At 58.7% G+C, this 26813-nt stretch overlaps 2 protein-coding genes and 1 long non-coding RNA gene across 15 annotated transcripts in view, besides 2 other annotated features; 2 read left to right on the top strand and 1 right to left on the bottom strand.

Annotated features, from left to right (window-relative positions):
- The window catches only part of CSNK1G2 (casein kinase 1 gamma 2), a 40167-nt gene extending 33338 nt beyond the window's left edge, over nucleotides 1–6829 (top strand). For 3 of the 9 annotated variants that reach the window (XM_005259498.2, XM_047438184.1, XM_005259499.4), the window contains 9 exons: nucleotides 3796–3836; nucleotides 3933–4241; nucleotides 4350–4584; nucleotides 4654–4739; nucleotides 4810–4894; nucleotides 4986–5134; nucleotides 5243–5326; nucleotides 5402–5508; nucleotides 5640–6829. In XM_005259498.2, coding sequence (XP_005259555.1) covers nucleotides 3796–3836; nucleotides 3933–4241; nucleotides 4350–4584; nucleotides 4654–4739; nucleotides 4810–4894; nucleotides 4986–5134; nucleotides 5243–5326; nucleotides 5402–5508; nucleotides 5640–5694 — 1151 coding nt within the window. In that variant the 3' untranslated portion in view covers nucleotides 5695–6829. Of the gene's footprint in view, nucleotides 1–599; nucleotides 1606–3795; nucleotides 3837–3932; nucleotides 4242–4349; nucleotides 4585–4653; nucleotides 4740–4809; nucleotides 4895–4985; nucleotides 5135–5242; nucleotides 5509–5639 lie in introns of those variants that run through there. The other 6 variants (NM_001319.7, XM_047438185.1, XM_017026298.1 and 3 more) reach the window with 5 other exon arrangements.
- Nucleotides 5255–5755: an enhancer, noted in NCBI's record as "H3K4me1 hESC enhancer chr19:1979763-1980263 (GRCh37/hg19 assembly coordinates)". NCBI's record gives its function as "activates a minimal SCP1, AML or CMV promoter by ChIP-STARR-seq in naive H9 embryonic stem cells {active_cell/tissue: H9 hESC(naive)}" and the evidence as "EXISTENCE:reporter gene assay evidence [ECO:0000049][PMID:30033119]".
- A 4109-nt stretch (nucleotides 6830–10938) lies between the features above and the next one.
- Nucleotides 10939–26813, bottom strand: part of BTBD2 (BTB domain containing 2) — a 30267-nt gene continuing 14392 nt past the window's right edge. For 3 of the 5 annotated variants that reach the window (XM_047439068.1, NM_017797.4, XM_047439067.1), the window contains 8 exons: nucleotides 22835–22954; nucleotides 18511–18667; nucleotides 16208–16313; nucleotides 15495–15692; nucleotides 12991–13183; nucleotides 12657–12744; nucleotides 12321–12467; nucleotides 10939–12140 (listed from right to left, as the gene is read on the bottom strand). In XM_047439068.1, coding sequence (XP_047295024.1) covers nucleotides 11979–12140; nucleotides 12321–12467; nucleotides 12657–12744; nucleotides 12991–13183; nucleotides 15495–15692; nucleotides 16208–16313; nucleotides 18511–18667; nucleotides 22835–22917 — 1134 coding nt within the window. In that variant the 5' untranslated portion in view covers nucleotides 22918–22954 and the 3' untranslated portion in view covers nucleotides 10939–11978. Of the gene's footprint in view, nucleotides 12141–12320; nucleotides 12468–12656; nucleotides 12745–12990; nucleotides 13184–15494; nucleotides 15693–16207; nucleotides 16314–17367; nucleotides 17548–18510; nucleotides 18668–22834; nucleotides 22955–26813 lie in introns of all 5 variants that reach the window. The other 2 variants (XM_047439065.1, XM_047439066.1) reach the window with 1 other exon arrangement.
- On the top strand, nucleotides 13183–15861 carry LOC124904610 (uncharacterized). Its single transcript, XR_007067086.1, has 2 exons — nucleotides 13183–13985; nucleotides 14449–15861. It is a non-coding gene; the product is annotated as an uncharacterized LOC124904610 (long non-coding RNA).
- Nucleotides 18803–19303: an enhancer, noted in NCBI's record as "H3K4me1 hESC enhancer chr19:1993311-1993811 (GRCh37/hg19 assembly coordinates)". NCBI's record gives its function as "activates a minimal SCP1, AML or CMV promoter by ChIP-STARR-seq in naive H9 embryonic stem cells {active_cell/tissue: H9 hESC(naive)}" and the evidence as "EXISTENCE:reporter gene assay evidence [ECO:0000049][PMID:30033119]".

Raw genomic sequence — 26813 nt, forward strand, 5'->3', positions numbered from 1 at the left:
ACTGTGTGGAGTGACGTCTGTGCTGCTTCTTCCTCCCTTGTCACGGTCACACCTCCCTCACTCACCTGTGGGACAGCCTCACTGGGCGTGGCCGTGGTGTGTGCCGTGAGGTGTGGAGGGTGCCGTCTCCCGGCTTGAGCGCTGAGTTTGTCCCCGTGGCTCACCTTGTTTCTGTCAGGTTGGTTTCAGCGTTGCTGGGGCAAGGCTGAGGGTAAACATGAGCGACTCCAAGGCCAGGGAGCCCTGTGCCAAGGTGTGGACCTTTTGGGTTCTCAGCTGAAGTAGAGAATCCAGGGAGGACCCCGCACTCCGGCCATTGGAGCTGTGGCGTCCTCCCTCCTGTGTGTCCCCCGGAACCTCCTGAGCCTCTCTGGAGCTGTTCTCTGCCAGGCCCCGTGGGCTCTCCTGCCCTCTGCATGCATCGCGAGTACTGCCGGAGGAGGCCCCTTTGGCTTTCAGAGCCCAGAGCGCCCGACCTCCTCCAGGAGTCTGCAGATCCACAGGCCTCAGATGCTGCCACACCCACCCAGCACACACCCAGGTCTCTGACACGCCAGCCGCACACAGCGGTGGGGTTCAGGCGAAGGTTTCTTCCACAGTGCAGAGTAGAAGAGCCGGGAAGGACCCCATCACCATCAGATGCATCAGAGCTTCAAAGGCCCGCCCATCAAGACGCTGCCAAGAGCATGAGGCCAGCCAGGCTGGGGAGGACGTTGGCGAGCATCCGCCTGCCCGTCAGGGAGCCACAGCTGGATGATACATCGACAGACAGCAGAGGGACGGTGTAGCACACAGGCGAGGGCTTGTCCTCCTCAGCCTGGGGGAGCGCAGCTCAGTGCTTGGTGGTCAGCACGTGACTGACACTTTGCCGGAGAAGGGGACGGCTGCCCGCAGGAAGAGCTACACAGCCGTGTTCGCCGGAACTCCGCTCTGGAGAGTCAGAACTGGAGACGGGAGGGCGTGCCTCAAGGGCAGATGGGCAAACCAAACCCCATCCTCCCTGTGAGCCGCGGCACAGCACCAGGCGGGCACACGCAGCACGACACGGCGAGGAGCCCACCGCAGGGGCAGCCTTTTGGGCGGGGAAGGGGGGATGAATCCACTGTGAATCCCACCTCCGAAGGGCAGCGCAGGAAGGACACGCAAATGCTGGACTGAACCTGCAGCTGATTCAGGGGGCAGTGTCCTGAGCTCTAAAACTTCAAACCTGGGGCAGTGTCCTGAGCTCTAAAACTTCGAAATCTGACCAGGCACAGTGGCTCACGCCTGTAATCCCAACACTTTGGGAGGCTGATGTGGGCGGATCACCTGACGTCAGGAGTTCGAGACCAGCCTGGACAACATGGAGAAAGCCCATCTCTAGTAAAAATACAAAAATTAGCCAGGTTGATGGTGCCTGCCTGTAATTCCAGCTACTCAGGAGGCTGAGGCAGGAGAATCGCTTGAACCCAGGAGGCAGAGGTTCCAGTGAGCCGTGATCGCGCCAGTGCACTCCAGCCTGGGCAACAGAACGAGACTCTGCTCCAAAAAGAAAAAAACTTTGAAATCCCTCTAAAAATAAAATGGACCGGTGGATGGTAGCTGTGAGGATGGACCGTGTGGCAGGTTTAGTTCTGGGGCCTCGGCAATGAGTGTTGGGTGTTTGGGGCACGGCTCCTGTTGTTTTACGAGGAGAATTTCCTAATAACGTGTTACACTGGGGAGAACGTAGGAGGGGAGCCCATTTGTTCTGAAAACGCGGGGACCAGCCCTGGTCCCCGGCTCAGGACTGGAGGGGTTGCCCTGGTCCCTGGCTCAGGACTGGAGAGACCAGCCCTGGTCCCGGGCTCAGGGCTGCAGGGAGGCACCTGGTCTTCCCTCGTCCTCACGATCCTGCACCCTCAAGATGCCACGTTGTTGAGGCTGTTTAGGGAACTTGACAAGCTGATTGGAAACTGTGCTGAAATAGAGCCCAGGTAGTGATGCGGACAGGGCAGTGCCAGAAGGAGCCCCAGCGATTCCTGTGCTGCAAGGCACGCCCAGGACGGGGCACTAGCCGGGGGAAGAGGCTCTCAGGGCCCAGGTGGGACCCCAGCCTCAGACTATGAGGTCATGACTGTGTACAGCTCAGCCACCGGGCTTTGGGACTTTGAATCCACCTTAGCAGGGTTTCCAAACCCATTGTCTCCACGGCCACCCTGCCAGTCCAGCTGCAGCAGGGCGGAACAAAGTGGAGGCCTCTTTCTTGCTTTCTTTTTTTTTTTTTTTGAGACAGAGTTTCTCTCTTGTTGCCCAGGCTGGAGTGCAATGGCACCATCTCAGCTCACCACAACCTTCACCTCCCGGGTTCAGGCAATTCTCCTGCCTCAGCCTCCCTGGTAGCTGGGATTACAGGCATGCATCACCATGCCAGGCTAATTTTGTATTTTTAGTAGAGATGGGGTTTCTCCATGTTTGTCAGGCTGGTCTCGAACTCCCGACCTCAGGTGATCCGCCTGCGTCAGCCTCCCAAAGTGCTGGGATTACAGGCATAAGCCACCGTGCCCGGCCACAGAGGCCTCATTCTGCAGCGTATGCTACTCGGGCAAAGGCAGCTGACTGCAGACCCAACACGGTGACCCAGCTGGATGGTGCCTGAGAGACGGGGCTGCCCCACATGGTGCCCTGTCATGCCGCGGGACAGGTCGCCCAGCAGATGGTAGCTATGGCCCCAGTGCCATCCTGGGCTGGAGACACATGGGTGCCAGACACGTTCATGCCTGTCGTCTGGCCCAGCTGCCGTGGGGAGCCCTCCAGGGCCGTGTGCCTGCAGGGACCGGCCTGTTCACCTCTAGGCTCACCCCTCGGGTGCTGAGTCACCACAGTGGGTGGGGCCGTGCCCCCTCCCAGGCCGGCTTCCACAGCTGCCCCTGCAGAGCGCCTCTGTGTTAAGGGCTGGCCGCCTCCTTCCTCAGGGGGTGTAACATGTAAAAAGCTGCACCCTGGCCTGTACAGGGGCTCCCGCCTGTTATCCCAGCCCTGTGGGAGGCTGAGGCAGGCAGATCGCTTGAGCTCAGGAGTTCAAGATCAGCCCGGGCAACTTGGAGAAACCCCGTCTCTACTAAAAATACAAAAATTAGTTGGGTGTGGTGGTGCGCACCTGTAGTCCCAGCTACTTGGGAGGCTGAGATGGGAGGATGGCTTGAGCCTGGGAGACAAAGGCTGCAGTGAACTGCGATCTCGCCACTACACTCCAGACTGGGCAACAGAGCGACACCGTCTCAAAAAAAAAAAAAAAAAAAAGGTTCTGGGCCTCGTACCTTCTGCGCTTTCATGAGACTCAGCCCTGGAAGTCCTATGTGGCTGGTGGCCCCAGGGAACAGGACCTGGGCTCCTCTCTTCTAACCCATGTGGGCCACAGGTCCCTGTCCATCTGTGCTGGGGCTCACCTGGGGGCCGAGGGCCTCGGGCATGTGGGAGATTTGTCTTTGAGAAAGGGGTGGAGGAGTGTGGAGCCCTTGGGGCTGCCTGCAGGCCGTGAGAGACCTCCCCAGTGCCGCTTCTGTCCTGGGCTAGGGAGGTGGGGGGGCGGGGGAGGAGGAGTGGCAGACACTGAGGCGGTGACCACACGGGCAGGGTGCAGGTGTCGGGATGACTTGGCAGGCCATGGTGCAGTGCTCTGGCAGGCTGGGCCCAGGCCCTGCTGCTGGGCAGTGGTGTCATTTGGAGGGTGGTCCTTCAGGGACCCCCTCCTGCCTCCTGCCTCGGGGGTGGGCTGGGGAGGTCGGGGCTAGGTGGGCCCTGCGCTGGCGGTGCTGATGGTCTCTGTCCCCGCAGGAAAGAATCTCTATACAAATGAATACGTGGCTATCAAATTGGTGAGTCGGCCCCTCCACCCCACCCCCGCTGACGTGCCCCCCAGGGATTTCAGGGCAGCGACCCGGTCCCCTGGTGACTCGCTCTTGTGCCCCCAGGAGCCGATCAAGTCCCGGGCCCCGCAGCTGCACCTGGAGTACCGGTTCTACAAGCAGCTCAGCGCCACAGGTACCGGGCGGCCCGCGGGTGGGGCGGGGGCTGCGCAGGGGCAGGGAGGGGGCTGCCGCCGCACGCCCGTGCGTCTGTCCTCCGCCGCAGAGGGCGTCCCTCAGGTCTACTACTTCGGTCCGTGCGGGAAGTACAACGCCATGGTGCTGGAGCTGCTGGGGCCCAGCCTGGAGGACCTGTTCGACCTGTGCGACCGGACCTTCACGCTCAAGACGGTGCTGATGATCGCCATCCAGCTGGTGCGCGGCGGGCGGGGCGGGGCGGGGCTCGGAGGGAAGAGGGTGGCCCTGGAGGGGAGCGCGTGGGACGGGGAGGGGCCCGGCCGACACCGCCGTGCCCCCCTGCAGATCACGCGCATGGAGTATGTGCACACCAAGAGCCTAATCTACCGGGACGTGAAGCCCGAGAACTTCCTGGTGGGCCGCCCGGGGACCAAGCGGCAGCATGCCATCCACATCATCGACTTCGGGCTGGCCAAGGAGTACATCGACCCCGAGACCAAGAAGCACATCCCGTACCGCGAGCACAAGAGCCTGACGGGCACGGCGCGCTACATGAGCATCAACACGCACCTGGGCAAGGGTGAGCTGCGCGCGCGCGGCGGGGGGCGGGCGCCCGGACCCCGCTGAGGCTGCGCCCCTGTCCCCGCAGAGCAGAGCCGCCGCGACGACCTGGAGGCGCTGGGCCACATGTTCATGTACTTCCTGCGCGGCAGCCTCCCCTGGCAGGGGCTCAAGGTGGGCGAGGAGGCCGGGCAGGCGGGCGGGGACGCAGGGCGGGAGCAAGGCTGACCACAGACCCCCGCAGGCCGACACGCTCAAGGAGCGGTACCAGAAGATCGGGGACACCAAACGCGCCACGCCCATCGAGGTGCTCTGCGAGAACTTCCCAGGTAAGGGGTCCCTGCGCCCCCGCCCTGTGCCCCCCACCCCCCACCCCCCACCCCCACCCCCGCCGAGGCCCCGCTGGCGCTCTCTCTGCAGAGGAGATGGCCACGTACCTGCGCTATGTGCGGCGCCTGGACTTCTTCGAGAAGCCCGACTATGACTACCTGCGGAAGCTCTTCACCGACCTCTTCGACCGCAGTGGCTTCGTGTTCGACTATGAGTACGACTGGGCCGGGAAGCCCCTGGTAGGTGGGGGGGTGCCGGTATGTGGGAGCGGGGGACCGGGAAACTGCCCTGAGGGAGATGGGAACCGGCGCTGCAGCCCATCCTGACCCCTGCTCCCTCACCCACAGCCGACCCCCATCGGCACCGTCCACACCGACCTGCCCTCCCAGCCTCAGCTCCGGGACAAAACCCAGCCGCACAGCAAAAACCAGGTGAGGCCCGGGCGGGACCGACCGCCCCAGGGAGGGGCATGGGCGGCCAGCGTGACCCCCTACTGCCCCCACCAGGCGTTGAACTCCACCAACGGGGAGCTGAATGCGGACGACCCCACGGCCGGCCACTCCAACGCCCCGATCACAGCGCCTGCAGAGGTGGAGGTGGCCGATGAAACCAAGTAAGGCTCTGGGGCGGTGCCTTCGGGGAGGTGGGGGTGCCCTGGGTCCCCATGGGGGTGGGAGGGCCTGAGGCCTGGGCTGCCCCCGCCCTGCACCCCGGTCCTCCTACCTGAGCCACTGCCCTCCTCAGATGCTGCTGTTTCTTCAAGAGGAGAAAGAGAAAATCGCTGCAGCGACACAAGTGACCCTGGGCGCGTGCAGCCCCCTGAATCTTCTCCGTGCAGCCCCTTGGGGCGCGACCTTGTGCGAGGCCCTCGGGGCCCACCCACAGCGGCCCAGGGCCAGACCCTGGCTGGAAGCCAGAACGCAGACTGCAGGGGCCGCGCCTGGCTCAGGCGGCCCCACCCCCGGGACGTGGGGTCACTTCCTTCATGTAAGACTTTGGCCGAAATTTCTACACCTGTGTCTAGTCCTCCCCTCCAAGAGCATTAACTATTTAAAACAAGGAAAAGAGGAAAAAAAAAACAGAGGCCCGCCCTACCCCACTCCTGCCCCTCCGTTTCTTTGCTGAAGTGAGTAGTGTGATCCTGGAGGCCCCCCGGCCTGGCCCCGCCCCGCCAGCCGCCCCCGTTAGCGTCATAAAGTCCAGCTTGTCTCCCTCGATCCAAAGGCCGTTTTCTCGAGGGGAGGGCAGGCCCGGCCTGGAGGGGTGCTGTGGAGCTGTCTTGCCCAGGCCCTCCTGGGAGGGGGACAGGCATTGTTGCCAGGGGTGAGGCCGTGCCCCAGGCCTCCCCGAAACCAAAGGGGAAGGCAGGGGTGGGGCCGTGGCTGAAGCCGGCTCCCCAACCAAAATGCTGCACCAAAGCTCGGGCGCCGCGGGCACGGCTGCTGCAGTCTCTTCCCAGCCTGGCCCTGGCAAGGGGCGGGTGGGCGCTGCCAGGCGGGTGCTTCTCGACGCACTTGCTCCCGGAGGCTGCGCCCCGGCGCCTGGAACCCGAGGTGGGAGGACCGGTTGGTGTCACCCTGCTCGGCCCTCAGCCCTGCCGCGTGGGGCGCGTGGGCACGGAGCTTCCTGCCTCTCTGCTCCGACACCCGGCAAGCAGCCGGAGACAAAACGCCTTAAAGCCCCCGGCCCAGCCCTGCAGGTATATTGCAGGGGCCTGGGGGCGGCCCTGGACTGGCGGGCGGTTCCCCAGTGGGGTGCCCTGGAGGCTGCCGGGCAGAGTGGAGCAGCTTGGGGCCGTGCCCAGGGCGGTGGCTGTGAGTCTAGTTTTTGCTTTACCAAGTGTACAGAAATGGCATTTACGTTTCTCTGATGCTCCCTTGAAGCCATAGAATTTAGGGGCTTTTTTAAAAAAATAAAAGAAAAATGAAACCAAACCCAAGTGTAGAGGGATTTGTCTGGGCTTTCCACGAAGCTTGACCTGGAACGGGCGTTGCTTCCATCCCCATCCTGCCTGTCCGGGACGAGTCCGGAGCGGCTGGCGGCCTCCGGTAACAGAAACCGACTGATGAGGCGGAAGGTAAGGAAGATGGAAGCAGAGGGCAGAGCTGGGCTCTGTCTGGGGAGAGGGCAGGAGACGAGTGTTCACGTACCATGGAAAGGGGAAGTCACACACATGCGACTTGGCCCCGGGGGTCCCGTTCCCCGACACTACACAAATATACCTGAAAGCCTCAGCGACGGGGCCCAGGCAGGATGGTCCTGGCTGCTCTGACGGCGGAAGGCCTCCTTGACTCCCTCTGTTCACGCAGCAGGGCAGAAAACATCTCCACGGGGGCCACGACACTGTGAAGGGAATCAGCAGTAGCTCCCAGAAGAACAGCGGAAACTGCAGGCAGGTGAAGACCTTGGCAGCACTAGCCCCGGCTCCGCCCCGTGCCTTCTCCCCAGACAACACCCCATACCCGGCAGCAAGGGTGGAAGACCAGTACCACCGTAATATGTTGTGACAAAGCAGAAATAATGCACCTGTAAGAGTCAGATGGCAAGAGGGAAATGGAATGAGCTCATCGATGGTTTTCCCGGCAGTAGCTTGGGGATAAGGACTACTTGTCATGTGCTTTATATATTTACCCACATGTTAACCTTTTCTGATGCTCTTCATTTCTTTCTGCTGATCAGAAATTACATCTGGGACCGGGCAGGGTAGCTCACTCCTGTAATCCCAGCACTTTGGGAGGCCGAGGCTGGCGGATCACGAGGTCAGGAGTGCGAGACCATCCTGGCTAACATGGTGAAACCCTGTCTCTACTAAAAATACAAAAAATTAGCCGGGCGCCTGTAGTCCTAGCTACTGGGGAGGCTGAGGCAGGAGAATAGCGTGAACCCGGGAGGCGGAGCTTGCAGTGAGCCCAGATCTCGCCACCGCACTCCAGCCCGGGCGACAGAATCCCAAAACTACCTCTGGGATAATTTTCAGCCTGAAGAACTTCAATATTTCTTACAGTGCAGCTTTTTTTTTTTTTTTTTTGAGACAGGGCCTGGCCTAGGCTGGCGTGCAGTTGCACAGTCATAGCTCCCTGGAGCCTCCACCTCTTGGGCTCAAGCGATCCTCCCACCTCAGCCTCCCAAGTATCTGGGACCATAGACGTGCACCACCACACTCAGCTAATTGTTTTGTTCTGTTTTGTTTTTAGGTAGAGATAGGGTTGCCTGTCTGGCTCTGTTGTCCAGGCACTTGCGGAGGACGAGGTGGGAAAGTGACCCTGGGATGAGAGGCGTGAGCCACCACGCCGGGCCGAGTGCAGCTTTGTCGGTAACAAATTACAAATTAGCATTTGTTCCCTGAAAAAAATATTTATTTCACCTTTCTTAATAAGGATGTTTTTGCTGGTAGTGGCATTCCAGGTTGACAAAGTGTTTGTTTGGGACAGAGTCTCGCTGTCACCCAGGCTGGAGTGCATTGGCGTGGTCTCGGCTCACTGCAGCCTCCACCTCCCGGGTTCAAGCAGTTCTCCTGCCTCAGCCTCCCGAGTAGCTGGGATTACAAGCGTGTGCCACCACACCTGGATAATGTTTGTATTTTTAGTAGAGTCGGGGTTTCACCATGTTGGCCAGGCTGGTCTTGAACTCCTGACCTCAAGTGATCCACCCACCTCGGCCTCCCAAAGTGCTGGGATGACAGGCATGAGCCAGCATGCTCCACTGACAAAGTTTTTAAAACGCGGCGGCTCACGCCTGCAATCCCAGCACTTTGGGAGGCCGAGGCTGGTGGATCACAAGGTCAGGAGATCGAGACCATCCTGGCCAACACGGTGAGACCCCATCTCTACTAAAAATACAAAAAATTAGCCGGGCGTGGCGGCAGGCACCTATAGGCCCAGCTCCTCGGGAGGCTGAGGCAGGAGAATGGCGTGAACCCGGGAGGCGGAGCTTGCAGTGAGCCGAGATTGCACCACTGCACTCCAGCCTGGGTGACAGAGAGAGACTCTGTCTCAAAAAAAAAAAAAAAAAAAAAAAAAAAAAAATTGTGGGTCAACGTCTTTCATTCATTTTGGAAAATTCTTGGCTGTCATATAGCTTGAGTCTCATTCTCTCTCTCTCCTTCTGGGACTCCACTTACACATACGTTCAACCCTTTGGCTGTGTCACGTATCTCGATCTGTTCTGTTTTTCCATTGTTTTTACTCACTGTGCTTCACCTTGCATGTTTGTTTGTTTGTTTTTTGAGACAGAGTCTTGCTGTGTTGCCCAGGCTGGAGTGCAGTGGCGAGATCTCGGCTCACTGGCAAGCTCCACCTCCCGGGTTCACGCCATTCTCCTGCCTCAGCCTCCCAAGTAGCTGGGACCACAGGCACCTGTCACCACACCTGGCTAATTTTTGTAGTTTTTTTTAGTAGAGACGGGGTTTCATCATGTTAGCCAGGATGGTCTTGATCTCCTGACCTCGTGATCTGCCTGCCTCAGCCTCCCAAAGTGCTGGGATTACAGGCATGAGCCACCATACCTGGCTTTTTTTTTTTTTTTTTTTTTTTTTGAGACAGTCTTGCTCTGTCTCCCTGGGCTGGAGTGCAGTGGCACAATCGTGGCTTACTGCAACCTCTGCCTCCCAGGTTCAAGTGATTCTCCTGCCTCAGCCTCCCAAGTAGCTGGGATTACAGATGCACGCCACCACGCCTCGCTAATTTTTGTATTTTTAGTGGAGACGGGTTTCGCCATGTTGGCCAGGCTGGTCTCGAACTCCTGACCTCAGATGATCCACCTGCCTCGGCCTCCCAAAGTGCTGGGATTGCAGGCATGAGCCACCACGCCCAGCCTGTCATTTTTAAATGGATGCTGGACGTTGTAAATGACAGATGGTAGAAGCTGGTGCTGATGTTTCTTCACAGGGCTGTGTTTTCTTTTGGCAGGGTCCAGCGTAACAGCAGCCCAGTGAGACCCTACCAGGGTTTTGTTTTGGAGTGATGACGGCTTCCGTTCTGTCCTCCCCACAGGAGTGTTGCCCTAGCTCCTGGTGGGTGGCCCTTCTGGTGTCTTCATTAGAAGCCCAAGGTGTTTCCTTTTAATATGTATTTTTTTAGAGATGGGGTCTTGCTGTGTTGCCCAGGCTGGTCTCAAACTCCTGGCCCCTAGCAGTTCTGCCTCAGCCTGCCAAAGTGCTGGGATTGCAGGTGTGAGCCAGCACGCCCGGCCCCCAGGGTGTTCGACAAGGCCCCCTACCCCGCCAGCCTCCATCTCCATTGCCTGCTCCCAGCACTGCGCACTGTGGAGATCTGCTCAGCCTTCAGCCTCCTGGCAACTGTTTGCGGCTGGCTTTTTTTTTTTTAGACGGAGTCTTGCTTTCTCGCCCAGGCTGGAGTGCAATGGCACCATCTTGGCTCACTGCAACCTCCATCTCCCAGGTTCAAGCGATTCGCCTGCCTCAGCCTCCCAAGTAGCTGGGATTACAGGTGCCTGCCACCATACCTGGCTAATTTTTGTGTTTTTAGTAGAGATGGGGTTTCACCATGTCGGCCAGGTTGGTCCTGAACTCCTGACCTCAGGTGATCCACCCGCCCGGCCTCCCAAGGTGCTGTAATGACGTGTGAGCCACCACGCGGCCTTGCTGCCGGGTTTCTTGATGTCTTGCCCTGCACGTGTGCTCCTGAGGCAGCAGCCAACGGCTTGACTTCTCTGGCCACTGAGGCCACAACTGGGCACTCCCTGCTTTCTCTCCATCTCTCACATCCACGGTCCCCCAGCAGCCAGCAGGGCCTCCCCACGGGGAAATCGGCACACACGTCCATTGCATTTGGGTTTGGGGGGAGGTGTTGAGTTAGTTAGGGTCTTGCTCTTGCCCAGGGGGGAGGGCAGTGGTGCATCACTGCTCACTGCAGTCTCGACCTCCCGGGCTTCAGTGTGGCCTGTGGGTACTTAAGGAGGGTCTCGCAGCACTGGCGACCAGACCCGGGGTTCAGGGCCCCTCTCGGCGCACGACATCCCTCGCCCACTGCAGCCCGGATGACAGGGCAGAGAGTGAAGGGGAGCAAAGCAGTGTGCGCTCAAGGCAGGTGCATTTGTTTCTTTATTTAAAAAAATCATCTGGGGGCATGGTCTGAGGAGGACACCCCTCCCATGGCTTTGGGGAGGACGCAGGTTCCAGGAGTCACAGGGCAGAAACACGCGGGGTGGGTGGGGGCGTGGCCGGAGTGGGGAGGGGCTGTGCCCCCAGCACCTGGGGGTGGCTCCCACGGCACCAGGTGGGCTAGGGCAACAGTATGTACAGGCGAGCAGTGCTCCTGGACCCGGTCGGGGCCGGCTGGGGCCCCATTCTGCGGCAGGGGAGCTCTGGGGCACAGGGTCTGAGTCCCATCTTGGGCTGCAGGGACCGCGAGGGCCGTCCAGGGAGGCTGGACAGCGGGGGCCTTTATCTGGGCCCATCAGGTGGATGAGAACGGACACTGCAAACCGCTCACCACCTGGGCCAGGGCTAGGCCTATCCGGCAGGGGCCGTCCCCACACTGAATCCTGCGTGCGCAGAACTCAAGCCGGCATCCAGGCAGTGGGAACGCCCCGCAGGCTGGGCTTGGGTGGCCTCGGGCACGTGACAGGTGGGGCCCGTGTCCTGATAAACGGACAGGAACAAAAGGAACGCAAGGTCTGGGACCCACGGCTCTGGGAGCAGCGCCACCCAGGCTGGCTCCTAGCAGAGAAATGGGAATCGCAAATGCATTGCAATGTGCAGTGAAGAGACGCGAGGGACGCCCGCGGCGCACCGCCGGCAGACGACGTGGGCAGGCGCCCTGAGCTGCGGGTCCGTGGGCCCTGGCCCAGGCCGGCACAGCCCTGTCCCTAGTCCTGAGGGATTGTCTCCACAGGGCCTGGCCACTGGCCTGGCCACCTCCCCGGCTGCCCTGATCCAGCAGCCACACTCGTGGTGAACACAGGGCAACCCCGTCCTGATGCTGAGAAAGGTGGCATGGAGTGGACAGACGGCCTGGGGGACACTGGGCCTGGCACCGCGTGGTGGGGGGGCCCCAGCAGCAGATGATGGCCTGGGGCTGCGGCTATCCCCACGGAGGGAGGGCGGTGTCGGTGTCGGGCAGCCTAGGTGTAGAAGATGACCTCGGGGATCTGGCCGTCCTCCACGGATGTGCCATTGTTGTTCCCGGCCGCGTAGCAAAAGGTGAAGCAGGTCTTGGCGCCCGTGGTGGGCGACTCGTGTGTCACCTTGCGCAGGCCTTTGGTGCCGTAGTGGGAGTCTGGGCCCTGTAGGGAATAGGGGTACAGTGAGGTCAAGGACCACCAGGCTGGGATGCCCCAGGTGTGGACAGGGCAAGGCCCCGACTGGGCCAGGGTGGCTGCCTCTGGAGAGTGTGTGCTGTGCCCCGGTGGCTTCAGGATGGGCCAGAGACTCCCACGGAGGGACCCCTGTCCCCGGCGGCGCACCTTGAGCGTGGCACAGGCCGTGTAGTTGACGTTGGGCAGCACCTCCACCGGCTCCTTGAACATGACGCGGAAGGTGCTGGCTGAGCCGTCGCAGCTGAAGCCCGTGTCGTTCTGGCCCAAGACGGTGTTGCTATCGGTGTGAATAATCTGCGGGGAGGTGGGAAGTGGGAGGCTCAGGCCTGGGGAGGGCCAACGGGGACCCCTCGAGGCCCAGCCCACCTGCCCAGGGTGGGGGCAGCACAGGGACCAGGGCCGGGGGTTCAGCCAGGGTTCCATGGAGGTGGAGAGAGGACATGGGCCTGAGTGGGGCCTGGGGATGAGGCTTGGGGCTGGTACCTGGATGTTCACTTGGTAGTCGGTGGGCCCGTGGATGGATCCATACAGCCCAAATCCCACCACGAAGATGCGCTTGTTGACTGAGAACCTGCCGTGGCAGATGACAGGCAGCAGCGTGGATACCCAGGGATAGCCTAAGGTGAGCTGGGGCGAGCCCACCCCCATGCCCGGTCCCCTCCATCGTCCCTGAGTCCTCCACCCCCATGCCCGGCGGCCCCCCCGCCGTCTTCATCATCCCTGAGTTCTCCACCCCCATGCCCGGCCCCCCATCTCCGTCATCCCCGAGTCCTCCACCCCCATGTCCGGACCCCCCCGCCTGCACCCCAAGCCCCACCTGATGCGGTCACTGGTCCCGCTGTAGCCCCAGCGACTCTCCACCTGCTGGAAGCGGTTGATGCTGCACTCCTTCCCACGCAGGCAGCAGCGGGGCCGGTCAATGAACTCCACTCGTGGCTTGGGGTTGACGGTGAAGTGCAGGAAGAGGCTGACCACCTCGCGGTCCACCAGGATGCCCGACTGTGCGGGACCTGCAGCACAGGGAGGGTGTGGGGGAGGGCCGGGCTGCACCCCAGGATCCCGAGTGCCTGGGAGGACACGCTCCTTCCCCCTAAGATGTCTGCGTCGGACTTTCAAGGTGCAGGGACCTGGGCAGCCCCTCCCCGGGGGACTAGCCACCAGCCATGGCCCCTGCTGCCTGGGCTTTTAGGGAGAGGTCCCAGGGCACAGACCAGAGGCCGACAGATACGCTCACTCAGGGGCGATGCCTCAGGGTCTGACAGATGCACTCACTCAGGGGTGATGTCTCAGGGTCTGGCCCCACTGTAGGGACCACCCGTCACTTCACTGTGGGTGGGGGCGGGGGGCTCCACTGCCTGTTCTCTCAGGGCCATTGGCTGGGAGGGGTCACTGTGGCTCCCTGCTAGGCCTGTACCCCCCAGGCTGCAGCCCTGGCTTCTAGAAGCAGTCTGGGGGTTCCTCTCCACGGTGGGCCCTAGGCAGACACCTTCTCAAGCGCTTACACCCCCAGGGGTGATGGCTAGCGGACCCCAGGCAGACTCCAAGAGCCAGGCTCTTAATCCCGGTGCAGAGATGTCACAGGCAGAGGGACTGTGCATGGGATGTGAAGGGGCTCTGGGTAGGGAGGGGAGGCCAGGAGGGGCAGAATTGGGGGTCCACCATCCACCCCCAGGAGTGCCAGGACACAGCACCCTCTGCTCTAATGAGAGCAGCCCTGCCTGCCTGAGACCTAATCACTCATCAACCAAGGTGGGCTCAACTCCGCATCGCTCAGCTGCAAGCCAGCCCAGTGCAGACACAGTTTAATAACTGGTGAGAAACAGACCATTATGGGTTAAGTGAATCAGGAAGACTGAGTATCAAAACTCAATAAACAATGTTAACAATTTTTTTTTTTTTTGAGACGGAGTTTCGCTCTTGTCCCCCAGGCTAGAGTGCAGGACGGAGTTTCGCTCTTGTCCCCCAGGCTAGAGTGCAGTGGCGTAATCTCGGCTCACCGCAACATCCGTCTCCAGGGTTCAAGCAATTCTCCTGCCTCAGCCTCCAGCATAGCTGGGTTTACAGGCATGCGCCACCATGCCCAGCTAATCTTGTATTTTTAGTAGAGACGGGGTTTCACCCTGTTGGTCAGGCTGGTCTCAAACTCCTGACCTCAAGTGATTCCCCCCATCTTGGGCCTCCCAAAGTGCTGGGATTACAGGAGTGAGTGACCCAGCCTGGCCAACAATTGTATATATTTTTTTATTTTAAATGGAGTTTCACTCTTGTTGCCCAGGCTGGAGTGCAGTGGCGCGATCTCGGCTCATCACAACCTCCACCTCCTGGGTTCAAGTGATTCTCCTGCCTCAGCCTCCCGGGTAGCTGGGATTACAGGCATGAGCCACCACACCCAGCTGATCAACAGTTGTATTTTTAAGAAGTATGTATCTAGCCAGGCTCGGTGGCCCATGTCCATAATCCCAGCACTTTGTGAGGCCGAGATGGGAGGATGGCTGGAGCCCAGTTCATGACCAGCCCAGGTGACATAGCAAGACCCTGTCCCCACAAAAAAATACAAATATAAGCCTTGTGTGGTGGTGGCACCTGTGATCCCAGCTACTCCGGAGTCTGAAGCAGGAGGATCACTTGAGCCCAGGAGGTCGAGGCTGCAGTGAGCTGTGATTGTACCACCGCACTCAGCCTGGGCGACAGAGACCCTCTTGCTAAATCTGGCGACCTTCAGCTAAGCAAGAGCGGGGGCCGCGTGGACCTGGGGAAGGCCAGACGGCGAGTGTGCACCAGCCCCAGGGCTCTGTCCCAGCCCCTTCTGGAAAGTTCCAGGCCTGTTTTGCTCCAGAGCTGGATGGCGTCAGGCAGTGAGCAGCCACGAGGGCAGGAGGCATCGTTAGCGCTGCCCCTTCACGTCACCCTGGAACCCAGGCCCTGCAGCAGGGGACCCCAAGGCCCACTCGGGCGCATGACAGCCACCCCGGCCATGTCAGAGCCCTCCTGAGCTCGTCACAGACACTGGTACCTGCACCAGCAGGTAGCACAAGGGCGCGAGACGGGGACTCCCTTCCCTCCTGGGAAGATGCCACCAAAACAGCTGGACAGACACGAGAGGCGGGGTCTGGCAGTGTGCACGGTGGGGACAGAGCCGGGCCGGGGCTAACAGATGGCCCTGTGGACGCGTCCTCACAAGCCAGGTTTCTTCCTATCTGTATATGCCAGGCATCTGCCAGGCTTTCCGCAGTGAACTCGGGGGCACTATCCTCGGTACCCAGATGCCCACCTGTGTGCCACTCCCCTCCCAAACCAGCCCCTGAGCCCGAGCTCTGTTACCTGCAGCGAACTCCTCGATGGTCATGAGCGGGAAGCGAATGAGGCCCAGGGCCTTGCCCAGAACCTTCCGCCTGTTCTCTGGCGTCACCTGCAGCTGCTGCCGCTGACACTCGGCCTCGGACCAGCGGACAACGGCATTGAACAGCCGCACCTCACGGATGCCCAGTGTGTCGCGCTCCAGGACAGCCACCAGCGTGTCTGTGGGGTGGAGGAAGGGGCTGCGTGAACACGACACCCACATGCCCACCCTGCAGGAGGCAGTGAGACTAACGTGAGGACCAGCAGTTAAAGCCGGGCTGGCAACTATGGCCCGTGGCCCAAATCTGGCCCTGTGAGTGTGTTTATAAATAAAGCTTTATCAACACAAGACCACGCCCCTTCATTTTCCTCGGCTGTGGTTGTTTTTAAGCCACAAGGACAGACTTGAGTAGCTTTGACAAAAGCTGTTCAACAGCAAAGTCAAAGCCATGGACCATCGGAGGACGAGATGGTCACCATCAGCTGGGATGGTGGGCTCTGGCCTGTGGCCTCCTGGCCAAGGCCCCGGACTCCCGTGGGGCTGTGCTAGGACCCAAACTCCTGACCTGCTGCAAGTGGTGAGGCCCCAGCTCACCTGTGCAACTCCCCCAGGCCCAAAGCTCCCACTGTCAATCCCCGGACCCTCCCGCCGAGGCCCCGCTGGGATTCCCACACCTGGGCTCCTGGGCCCTTACCCAGGTCAATGTCGGTGAAGCCCTCCGCGGTGATGGCGTCTGCAGTGTTTTTGTCGATGTTCTCCAGGCACAGGCTGGCCAGCTGCGGTTCATCGAAGAGTCGCGCCTGGCAAGAGACATCGACGGGGGGCGCGGTGGGGACATCAGCACCCAGCCCTCGGCAGATCCCCAGTGCGGGGCCGGTTCAAATGCAGCCCTGACCACACGGGCCTTCCTGAGCGTGGCCAGGAGCCACCAGGGTCTCAGCCACCAGGCCGGCCCTGTTGTGGGCCCAGAGACTCCCCTGTGACCGCTGACTGGGGCGGGAGAGTTGGGGAGTTCCCTCTCAGGACCTCAGAGGCCAAGGAAGGAAGAAAAAGATGCTCAGGTCCCTGTCGGCAGGGCCTGCTGCTTTAGGCAAAAGGGGCGTTGCAGCTGCACTCGGGGGGCAGCAGGGCCCAGGACCCCGAGTGGCAGGCAGAGGTGAGGTGGCCGGGGCCGACCGGTGAAGCTTCCCGACCACAACATGCCCTTGGCCACTTGTGGTGGGAGGGGCCGTGTCCCCGGCAGCTCCATCCCAAGACAAACAGCAGACATGACTTCTGACAGTCAGGTGACAGAGCTGGAGGACGCCTGTGCTCTTAGGGAAACAGAGGCTTAGTTAGTGGAAGGTGCTGGAAGGGCCTATGCCAGCAGGGACCCGGGCAGGCCTTTCTGCGGGCATCCTCCCGAGGACACCTCTCAAGTGGGTTCGTAGTGGTTTTAGGGGCAGGGAGGCTGAGGCAGCCACAAGATGAAGCCCGGGGAGTGAGCTCCAGCCTCCTCTCAGCTCAGGCAGAGGCCTCTCCAGCAAGGCGACCAGATGACCCGGACAAGAAACCCCTCCCTGTGGGAGTCCGGGATGCCCTGCATCTGACCTGCCAGGATGGAGGGGGAGAAGGTTCTGGGTCCTTTCCAGGATGCCGGACCCCCAAAGCCCATTGGAGGACCCAGTGCCGCTGTCCCCTCTGGCCACCCTCCACCCCCGACCAGGAGCTCACGGCTCCCAAGCGGCCGTCCACCCGTACTGGCCCCACGTCCTCTCAGCCTCCCTGGCCTGCACGACCTCCCCAGCCCCCGCCCTTTGGGCTGCACAGAGCCCAACTGGGGTCCCCTGAGATCCCTGGCCCTGCTCTGTCTACCTGACATTTCCTTAGAGAGAGAGAGAAAGTTCTCTCTGGTTTTTTTTTTTCTTTTTTTTTAGCCAGGCGCGGTGGTGGGGGCCTGTAATCCCAGCTACTGTGGAGGCTGAGGCAGGAGAATCGCTTGAACGCTGGAGGCGGAGGTTGCAGTGAGCTGAGATCGTGCCATTGCACTCCAGCCTGGGCAACAAGAGAAACCCCGTCTCAAAAAAAAATTATTTTACTTTTTTTTTAGAGACAGGGTCTCACTCTGTCACTCAGGCTGGAGTGCAGTGGCGCCATCTCCACTCACTGCAGCCTCAACCTCCCGGGCTCAGGCAATCTTCCTGCTTTGGTCCCCCAAGTAGTTGAGATTCCAGACATGCACCAGCGTGCTTGGCTAATTTATGAAATATTTTTTTTTAGTAGAGATGAGGTTTCACCATGTTGGCCAGGCTGGTCTCAAACTCCTGACCTCTGGTGATCTGCCTGTCTCAGCCTCCCAAAATGCTGGGATTACAGGCATGAACCACAGTGCCCGGCCTGAATCTTTTTTTAATTTTTTGTAGAAACGGGGTCTCTCTATGTTGCCTAGGCTGGTCTAGAACTCCGGGCCTCAAGCAATCCTCCCTACTTGGCCTCCCAAAGTGCTGGGGTTACAGGCGTGAGCCACCGCACCCTGCCAATAATTTTTTGAAGTATCACGGAAAAGTCCAAAACACATCTTTTTTTTTCAGGTGGAGTCTCGCTCTGTCATGCACGCTGGAGTGCAGTGGTGCGATCTCGGCTCACTGCAACCTCCACCTCCCAGGTTCATGCAATTCTCCTGCCTCAGCCTCCCAAGTAGCTGGAATTACAGGTGCCCGCCACCACGCCCGGCTCTTTTTTGTGTTTTTAGTAGAGATAGGATTTCGCCATGTTGGCCAGGCTGGTCTGGAACGCCTGAGCTCAGGTGATCTGCCCGCCTCGGCCTCCCAAAGTGCCGGGATTACAGGCGTGAGCAACCACGCCCGGCCCAAAACACATTTTACTACCAGGCAGGAGCCTGCTGCCTCCCGGGCCCGCCCCCGGCCCCGCCTCCGCCTCCAGCCTCGGTCCGCCCCACCCCGGCCCCGCCTCCAGCCAGGCCTGGCCCCGCCCCCGCCTCGTACCGGCCCCGCCCACCTGCGTGAGCAGCATGAAGGCGTTGTCGGCTCGCAGGTTCTTCTTCAGGAACTCCACGCAATGGGCCTCGAGCGCTGGCACCGCGTACTTCTTGGCGGTGTATAGCGTGGTCATCACCGTCTCCGGGCCAATCTGCACCTCGTCCGAGTAGAGAAACCTGCAGAAGCAACGCGGGTGGCCGTGAGGTGGGACCGCCATGCCCGCCCCCAGGGGAGAGCGTCAGGGGACCACTCAGACCGTTAGACTCGGCCACCGGCCCTTGAGCTGGCAGGACCCAAACACCCACATCAGGTTCCCCGAGGAACCTTCCAGAATTAGCCCCTGTCCGTTGCCCTCTGACATAGGGACACGACTTGGCAAGGTGGTCACCCATGAAAACGAGCAAGAGGCTGAACCCATCTACACAGCACACACCCGGAAGCGTCTATATGGCCTGTCTTGTTCTGCCCGGGATGCCCCAGGAGAGGGCACTGGGAGCTGGGTGTCTCCTTCTTGGGCACCTTTTCCATGAGGAACTGTTGGTTCCCCACCTCGGGCACCACCGAAAACCTCAACCACTTCTGGGTGGATCATAGAACCCAACACGCTAATTAGGATCATGGATAATCATGGACGCTATTACCACCTGCCAGCGAGGGGCCCACACGACACTGAATACAGATCAGAAGTTGGGCCGATCAAAAATAGAAGCACAGGCTGGGCCTGGTGGTTCACGCCTGTAACCCCAGCACTTTGGGAGGCTGAGGCGGGCAGATCGCCTGAGGTCAAGAAGTGCCAGACCAGCCTGGCCAACATGGTGAAACCCCGTCTCTACTAAAAATACAAAAATTAGCTGGGCGTGGTGGTGGGCGCCTGTAGTCCCAGCTACTTGGGAGGCTGAGGCAAGAGAATCGCTTGAACCTGGGAGGCAGATGTTGCAGTGAGCTGAGATCTCGCCACTGCACTCCAGCCTGGAGACAGAGCGAGAATCCGTCTCAAAAAAAAAAAAAAAAAAAAAAAAAAAAAAAAGCAGCACAGGCCGGCCTGGTGGTTCACGCCTGTAATCCCAGCACTTTGAGAGGCCGAGGCGGGCAGATCACTTGAGGCCAGGAGTTAGAGACTAGCCTGGCCGACATGGCAAAATCCCCCTCTACTAAAAATACAAAAATTAGCCAGGTGTGGTGGCAGACACCTGTAATCCCAGCTACCTGGGAGGCTGAGGCACAAGAATCGCTTGAACCCAGGAGGCGGAGGTTGCAGTGAGCCAAGATCGTATCACTGCACTGCAGCCTGGGAGACAGAGTGAGACTCCCTCTCAAAAAAAAAATAAAAAATAAAAAAATGTCTCCAGCCTGGAGCAGTGGCTCACATCTGTAATCCCAGCACGTTGGGAGGCAGAGGCGAGAGGATTGCCTGAGACCAGGAGTTGGAAACCAGTGTGGGCATGGTGAGATCCTGTCTCTAAACACATTTTTTTTTCAGCTGGGCACAGTGGCTCAGGCCTGTAATCCCAGCACTTTGGGAGGCTGAGGCAGGCGGATCATGAGATCAGGAGATCGAGACCATCCTGGCCAACATGATGAAACCGGGTCTCTACTAAAAATACAAAAATTAGCCAGGCGTGGTGGCGTGTGCCTGTAGTCCCAGGTACTCAGGAGGCTGATGCAGGAGAATCACTTGAACCCGGGAGGCAGAGGTTGCAGTGAGCCAGGATCGTGCCACTGCACTCCAGCCATGGTGGCAGAGCGCTACTCCATCTCAAAAAATGAAAAAATAAAAAAATATTTTTTTTCTCTCCCAGCCTGTGGGTGGCATTTCCACTCTGCCGGTATTGTCCTTTGAGGTATACATTTTTAACATTTTCCCTAAGTCCAATGTCTTTGTTTATTCTTTTCTTGGCTGTGTCTTTGGTGTCATATCCAAGTAATCATGGTCAAACCCAATGTCATGAAGATTTGATTCTGGTTTTTCTTTTTTTGTTGTTGTTGAGACAGAGTCTCGCTCTGTCGCCCAAGCTGGAGTGCAGTGGCGCAGTCTTGGTTTACTAAAACCTCTGCCTCCCAGGTTCAAGCGATTCTCCTGCCTCAGCTTCCTGAGTAGCTGGGGTTACAGGTGCCTGCTACCATGCCCAGCTAATTTTTGTATGTTTGTAGAGATGGGGTTTTGCCTTGTTGCCCAGGCTGGTCTCCAACTCCTGACCTCAGGTGATCCACCCACCTCAGCCTCCCAAAGTGCTGGGATTACAGGTGTGAGCCACCGCGCCTAGCCATACTTTGGATTCTTTTTTTTTTTTTTTTTTTTGAGAGGGAGTCTTGCTCTGTTGCCCAAGCTGGAGTGCAGTGGCATGACCTCAGCTCACTGCAAGCTCTGCCACCTGGGTTCACACCATTCTCCTGCCTCAGCCTCCTGAGTAGCTGGGACTACAGGCGCCTGCCACCATGCCCGGCTAATTTTTTTGTATTTTTAGTAGAGACGGGGTTTCACCGTGTTAGCCAGGATGGTCTCGATCTCCTGACCTCATGATCCACCCACCTCGGCCTCCCAAAGTGCTGGGATTACAGGCCTGAGCCACTGCGCCTGGCCACTTTGGATTCTTCTAAGTATTTTACAGGTCTAGATCTTACATTTTGGACTTTGATCTATTTTTTTTTTTTTTGAGACAGAGTCTCGCTCTGTCGCCCAGGCTGGAGTGCAGTGGCATGATCTCAGTCCACTCCAACCTCCATCTCCCGGGTTCACGCCATTCTCCTGCCTCAGCCTCCCAAGTAGCTGCGACTACGGGCGTCCGCCACCATGCCCGGCTAATTTTCTTATTTTTTATTTATTTTTTCTATTTTTAATAGAGACGAGGTTTCACCATGTTAGCCAGCATGGTCTCAATCTCCTGATCTCGTGATCCGCCCATCTCAGCCTCCCAAAGTACTGGGATTACAGGCGTGAGCCACCGTGCCCAGCCTGGACTTTGATCTATTTGAGTTAATTTTTATATACAGTAAGGTAAGGGTCTAACTTCATTCTTCTGCATGTGTATTTCTAGTTGTGCCTGTGCTATTTGTTAAACTCTCTTTTCTGTTGAATGGCCTTGGCACCCTTGCAAAAAATTATTTAACCCTATGTGCAAAGGTATTTATTTCTGAGCTCTCTGTTCCATTCCATTGGTCCCCACGTTCTGTCCTTACGCCAGTACCACACTGTTTTGATGATTGTAGCTTTGCAGTGAGTTTTGAAATCAGAAAGTATGAGCCCTCCAACTTTGTTCTTTTTCAAGATCGTTGTGGCTATTCAGGGTCCCTTGGGATTCCATATGAATTCTAGGATAGTTTTTCTATTTTTGCAAAAAACAGTAATTCTGATAGGATTATACTGACTGCAGATCGCAGTGGGTTGTGTGGACATCTTAACAATATTCTCTTCAATCCATGGACATGGGATGTGTTTCCATTTATTGTGTCTTTTTAAATTTCTTTCACTGATGTTTCCTTTTTTTTGTTGTTGTTGTTATTTTTTGTTTGTGTACTCCAGCTTGGGCAACAGGAGCAAAACTGTCAAAAAAAAAAAAAAAAAGAAGGAAAGAAAAGAAAAGAAAAAGAAAAGCAGGGAACTGGCTGGACACAGTGGCTCATGCCTGTAATCCCAGCACTTTGGGAGGCTGAGGCAGGCGGATCACCTGAGGCCAGGAGTCTGAGACCAGCCTGGCCAACATAGAGAAACGCTGTCTCTACTGAAAAACACACAAATGAGCTGGGTGTGGTGGTGAACACCTGTAATCCCAGGTACTCAGGAGAATCACTTGAACCAGGAAGTCGGAGGTCTCAATGAGCTGAGATCACACCACTGCACTCCATCCTGGGCAACAGAGCAAGACCACGTCTAAAAAATATAAAATAAAAAGGGTGCCTCTGGGCTGGGCGCGGTGGCTCAGGCTTGTAATCCCAGCACTTTGGGAGGCTGAGGTGGGTGGATCATGATGTCAGATCGAGACCATCCTGACTAACACAGTGAAACCCCATCTCTACTAAAAATACAAAAAAATTAGCCGGGCGTGGTGGCACGAGCCTGTAGTCCCAGCTACTTAGGAGGTTGAGGCAGGAAAATCACTTGAACCTGGAAGACTGAGGTTGCAGTGAGCCAAGATCACGGCACTGCACTCCAGCCTGGGCAACAGAGCGAGACTCCATCTCAAAAAGAAAAAAAAAAGTGCCTCTGGAACCCCTCATTGCACAGGAACGTTCTAGAAATCTCCACCAAGCCAGGGCCTCTGAGCTGGTGTCAGACAGGGTCTACGTTCTCTGAGGTCCCCCTCCCCAGGCCCAGCTCCCCAGCAGGAAGCATCCGGAAGCATTACTTGAGCAGTGCGAGGAAGGCAGCGGGTTCCACGTCGGGCAGCTCAATCTCCGTGGATGTTGTGGCCATTCCCCCGTTGAACATGGCATCAAAGACGGCGCTGCCCACGGCCAGCACGAACCTGGTACGGGAGAGAGAAGGCCCTGGTTAAGCCCGTGGCCGCCACCCCACGGCCGGGAGGGCCAGCCCGGTATCCTGGGTGACCACCCCACTAGGGCTCCCTGCCAGCCTCCAGCAGGCATGTACCAGGCCCCCCGATGGCAGAGGCTTCTGGAAGGGGCCTGGGACAGCAGGAGGGTGATGCAGACGGACCCACGGCAAGGACAGGCAGGGCTAGGACCATGCCCTGGGCCACACAGGGCCTCACGCTCTGCCAGCCCTCACCATCCTCTCTCTTTCCTTCCAGGCGTCAGGCACGCACTCATTCACTCATTCCCATATGCATGCATTTATTCACACGTGTTCATTCACACATGCATTCACACATACGTTCATTCATGCATGCATTCACTCGCTCATTCACATGCATTCATTCACACAGGCGTTCATTCACTCATTCATTCACATATTCATTCATTAACTAATTTCCATGTACATTCACTCAACTCATACACATGCACTCATTCATTCATCCACACATGCATTCATTGATCCACTGATTCATTCCCGTGGGCATGCATTCACTTGCTCATTTATGACACATGCATTCATTCACTTTCTCATTCATCGCACACTCATTCACTCACCCATTCACACACACACACATTCGTTCATTCCCACATGCACTCATCCACTTAGTCTCATTATTCACTCATTCATTCACACTCGTCTACTCTCTATCACTCTCCTGCTCACGCATTCCCTCATCAGCACAAGCTTTCCCAGGGAGTCAGCTACAGGCACAGGGCCTGGCCTCACTGAGGGAGACAGACGAGGACCAAATGGCCGAACAGCCCCCACTGAGTGAGAGAAGAGAGAGGAGCGTGGTCCCATCAGGAACGCAAGGCCCAGGGAAGCCCTGTGGGGTCATCTGAGCCGCCACGTCCATGGGGAAGGGCATGGAGGCCCAGGAACAGCAGGAGCGTGGGAGGAGCGTTAGGAGGCAGCAGGGGTGGCCCCAGCTGGGAAAGCGGTGGCTGTGAGGACGCTGGGGGTTCTGCCCCGTGTGAAGCTCAGGCTGCCTATGGGGCCCACTCAGTGGCTCAGATCTTCGATATCGCCACAGGCAGGAGGGTGCGGTGAGCAGAGAAAGGCTGCTGGTGCCTCCCCAAGAGCCGGCTATGAACCCGCGTTTGGCCAGGTCTGTATGGGGTGGGGAGAACTCCACGGCTCCCAGGCTCAAGACGCCACTCTGTGCTGTCCATGTACAGTCCCCAGGGCCTGCCCACACGATGGCCTCCCAGGGGGCTGAGAGCACACACAGCATAGGGGGGTCACAGACACTCAGCAGGGGCACAGACGCTGGTGGGGCGGGTTCACAGACGCTCGCGAAGTGGGATCACAGACGCTCGGCCTGCGCGCGGCGGAGCACCTGCCCCAGGACGTTGCGGTCCCTGCGTCACCTCTTCCCCACCTGTCCCCTTCCAAGTCTCCCACCACAGCAAGTGCCGGCTCTCAACAGCCTCCCCACGCCCGGAAAGCTCCGGAGCTACAGGTGGTTCCGCACGGATGGGACCTGCTTCTCACTCCTGCACAGCTGAACCTCCAGGACTGGCTGGGCGACCTCCACACAGCTCCCGGGAAAGCCCCCGTCTTCCGAGGAGAAGCTCCTCGCTCTCCTCCCACCACACGCGCCCCCCTAAACCCCGCAGGCCCTCAGCCCACCCGGTCCAGCCCAGGGCTTGACTGCACCCCAGAGTCAGGTCAGAAACCAACGCAGTGGCTTCCACATGGGCCCCGACCACAGCTTCCACATCCGCCCCGAACCTCGGAATGCGAGGCCCGGCGGAAACAGGCCGGTGCTAACTCCGTGAGTCAGGACGAAGGCGCCGGGGAAGGCTGGCCCTAAACAGTGGCTGGTGTTTTTGGAAGGAGGAGAAACAGGCCGGGCACGGTGGCCCACACCCGTCATCCCAGCATGTGGGAGACCAAGGCGGGAGGATCGCTTGAGCCCAGGAGTTTGAGACCAGCCTGGGCAACATAGTGAGACCCCATCTCTACAAAAACATTGAAAATTAGCCAGGCATCGTGGTGAGCAAGTGCAATCCTAGCGACTCAGGAGGCTGAGGCAGGAGGACTGCTTAAGCCCAGGAGGTCAAGGCTTCAGAGAGCCAGGACTGCGCCACTGCACTCCAGCCTGGGCAACAGAGCAAGACTCTGTCTCAAAAAAAAAAAAAGGCCAGGTGCAGTGGCTCACGCCTGTAATCCCACCACTTTGGGAGGCCAAGGCAGGCAAATCACCTGGGGTCAGGAGTTGGGAGACCAGCCTGGCCAACATGGTGAAACCCCGTCTCTACTAAAAATACAAAAATTAGCTGGGCGTGGTGGTGGGTGCCTGTAATCCCAGCTACTCAGGAGGCTGAGGCAGGAGAATTGCTTGAACCCGGGAGGCGGAGGTTTCAGTGAGCCAAGATCACGCCATTGCACTCCTGCTTGGGTGACAGAGCAAGACTAAAGACTCCACCTCAAAAAAAAAAAAAAAAAGAAAAAGAAAAAAGAAACAGAGTGGGCGGCCGCATGAAGCAGGGACTGGAGCGATGCGGCCACAGGCCAAGGACGTCTGGAGTCCCCAGAAGCTGGGTGGGGCAGGAGGATCCTCCCTTGAGCCTCCAGAGGGAGCGCCGCCCTCGGACGCCTTGATCCATGGTCCTGGGCTCCGGGACTGGCAGAGGATGAACCCACTGAGTTTGACCCCCCCAGTGTGTGGGCATTGGGACTGCCGCCCGCCCGTCTGCCCTCCTGGCCGCGTCCTCAAGGGCCCAGGCCTCAGGGCCCTGCGCCATCACCCACAGCTGGTGCCCCAGGACAAACGCTCCCCTCCCACACGATGTTCCAGAAATAGAGTACCTGTGCGTGGGACTTCTCTTTCTTGATTTAAAAATGTATCTTGGTCTCCTGTGGGGAAAACCTTTGAGGAGGGTTCAAAAGCAGAAAGCAGGAGGCACTCAAGTGGGCCCGGCGTGGGCCGTCCATGCAGTTTGGAATCAGGGAGCACCTCTGACATGGGCGGGTCCCCAGGCAGCTCTGCCGGTCCCCAAGGCAGGGGCTCCTCCAACACCGAGCCCCTCCCTGGAGACACCTGCATGGGCCTTCAGGATTCGACCCCTGGGCACCGCTACTGCCTCCTCTGCCCACCGTGAGTCCCCAGCCCCACTCCCGGCTGTTCCCCCCTTCATGTATCTGTAACCCCTTCCCCTTCCAAACAAATCGAGAACACACGGCCACACAAAAACACATCCACAATTGCTCACAGCAGCACGATTCCCAACTCCGAACGGGGGAAACAACCAGCGTCCATTGACAGACACGGTGCGACCACCCACGCACTGGAACACGACCCAGCCACAAACAGGAACGAGGCTCTGATGCAGGACCCGGTGCAGATGCGCCTTGAAGACGTCGTGCTCTATGACAGACGCCAGGCACAGAAGGACAAATCCTGTGTGATCCACTCCTAGGAGGTCCCCAGAGTCCTCAGATTCAGAGACAGAAAGGATGGGGGACGGGCACAGTGGCTCACGCCTGTACTCCCAGCACTTTGGGAGGCTGAGGCGGGCGGCTCACCTAAGATCAGGAGTTCGAGACCAGCCTGGCCAACATGGTGAAACCCTGTCTCTATGAAAAATACAAAAATTAGCCAGGTGTGGTGGTGGACACCTGTAGTCCCAGCTACTCAGGAGGCTGAGGCAGGAGAATCACTTAGAACCCAGGAGGCACCGGGCACGGTGGCTCACACCTGTAATCCCAGCACTTTGGGGGGCCGAGGCAGTGGATCACGAGGTCAGGAGATCAAGACCATCCTGGCTAACACGGTGAAACCC

This window comes from Homo sapiens, chromosome 19 (genome assembly GCF_000001405.40).
Source record: "Homo sapiens chromosome 19, GRCh38.p14 Primary Assembly".
NCBI classification, from domain to species: Eukaryota; Metazoa; Chordata; class Mammalia; order Primates; family Hominidae; genus Homo; species Homo sapiens.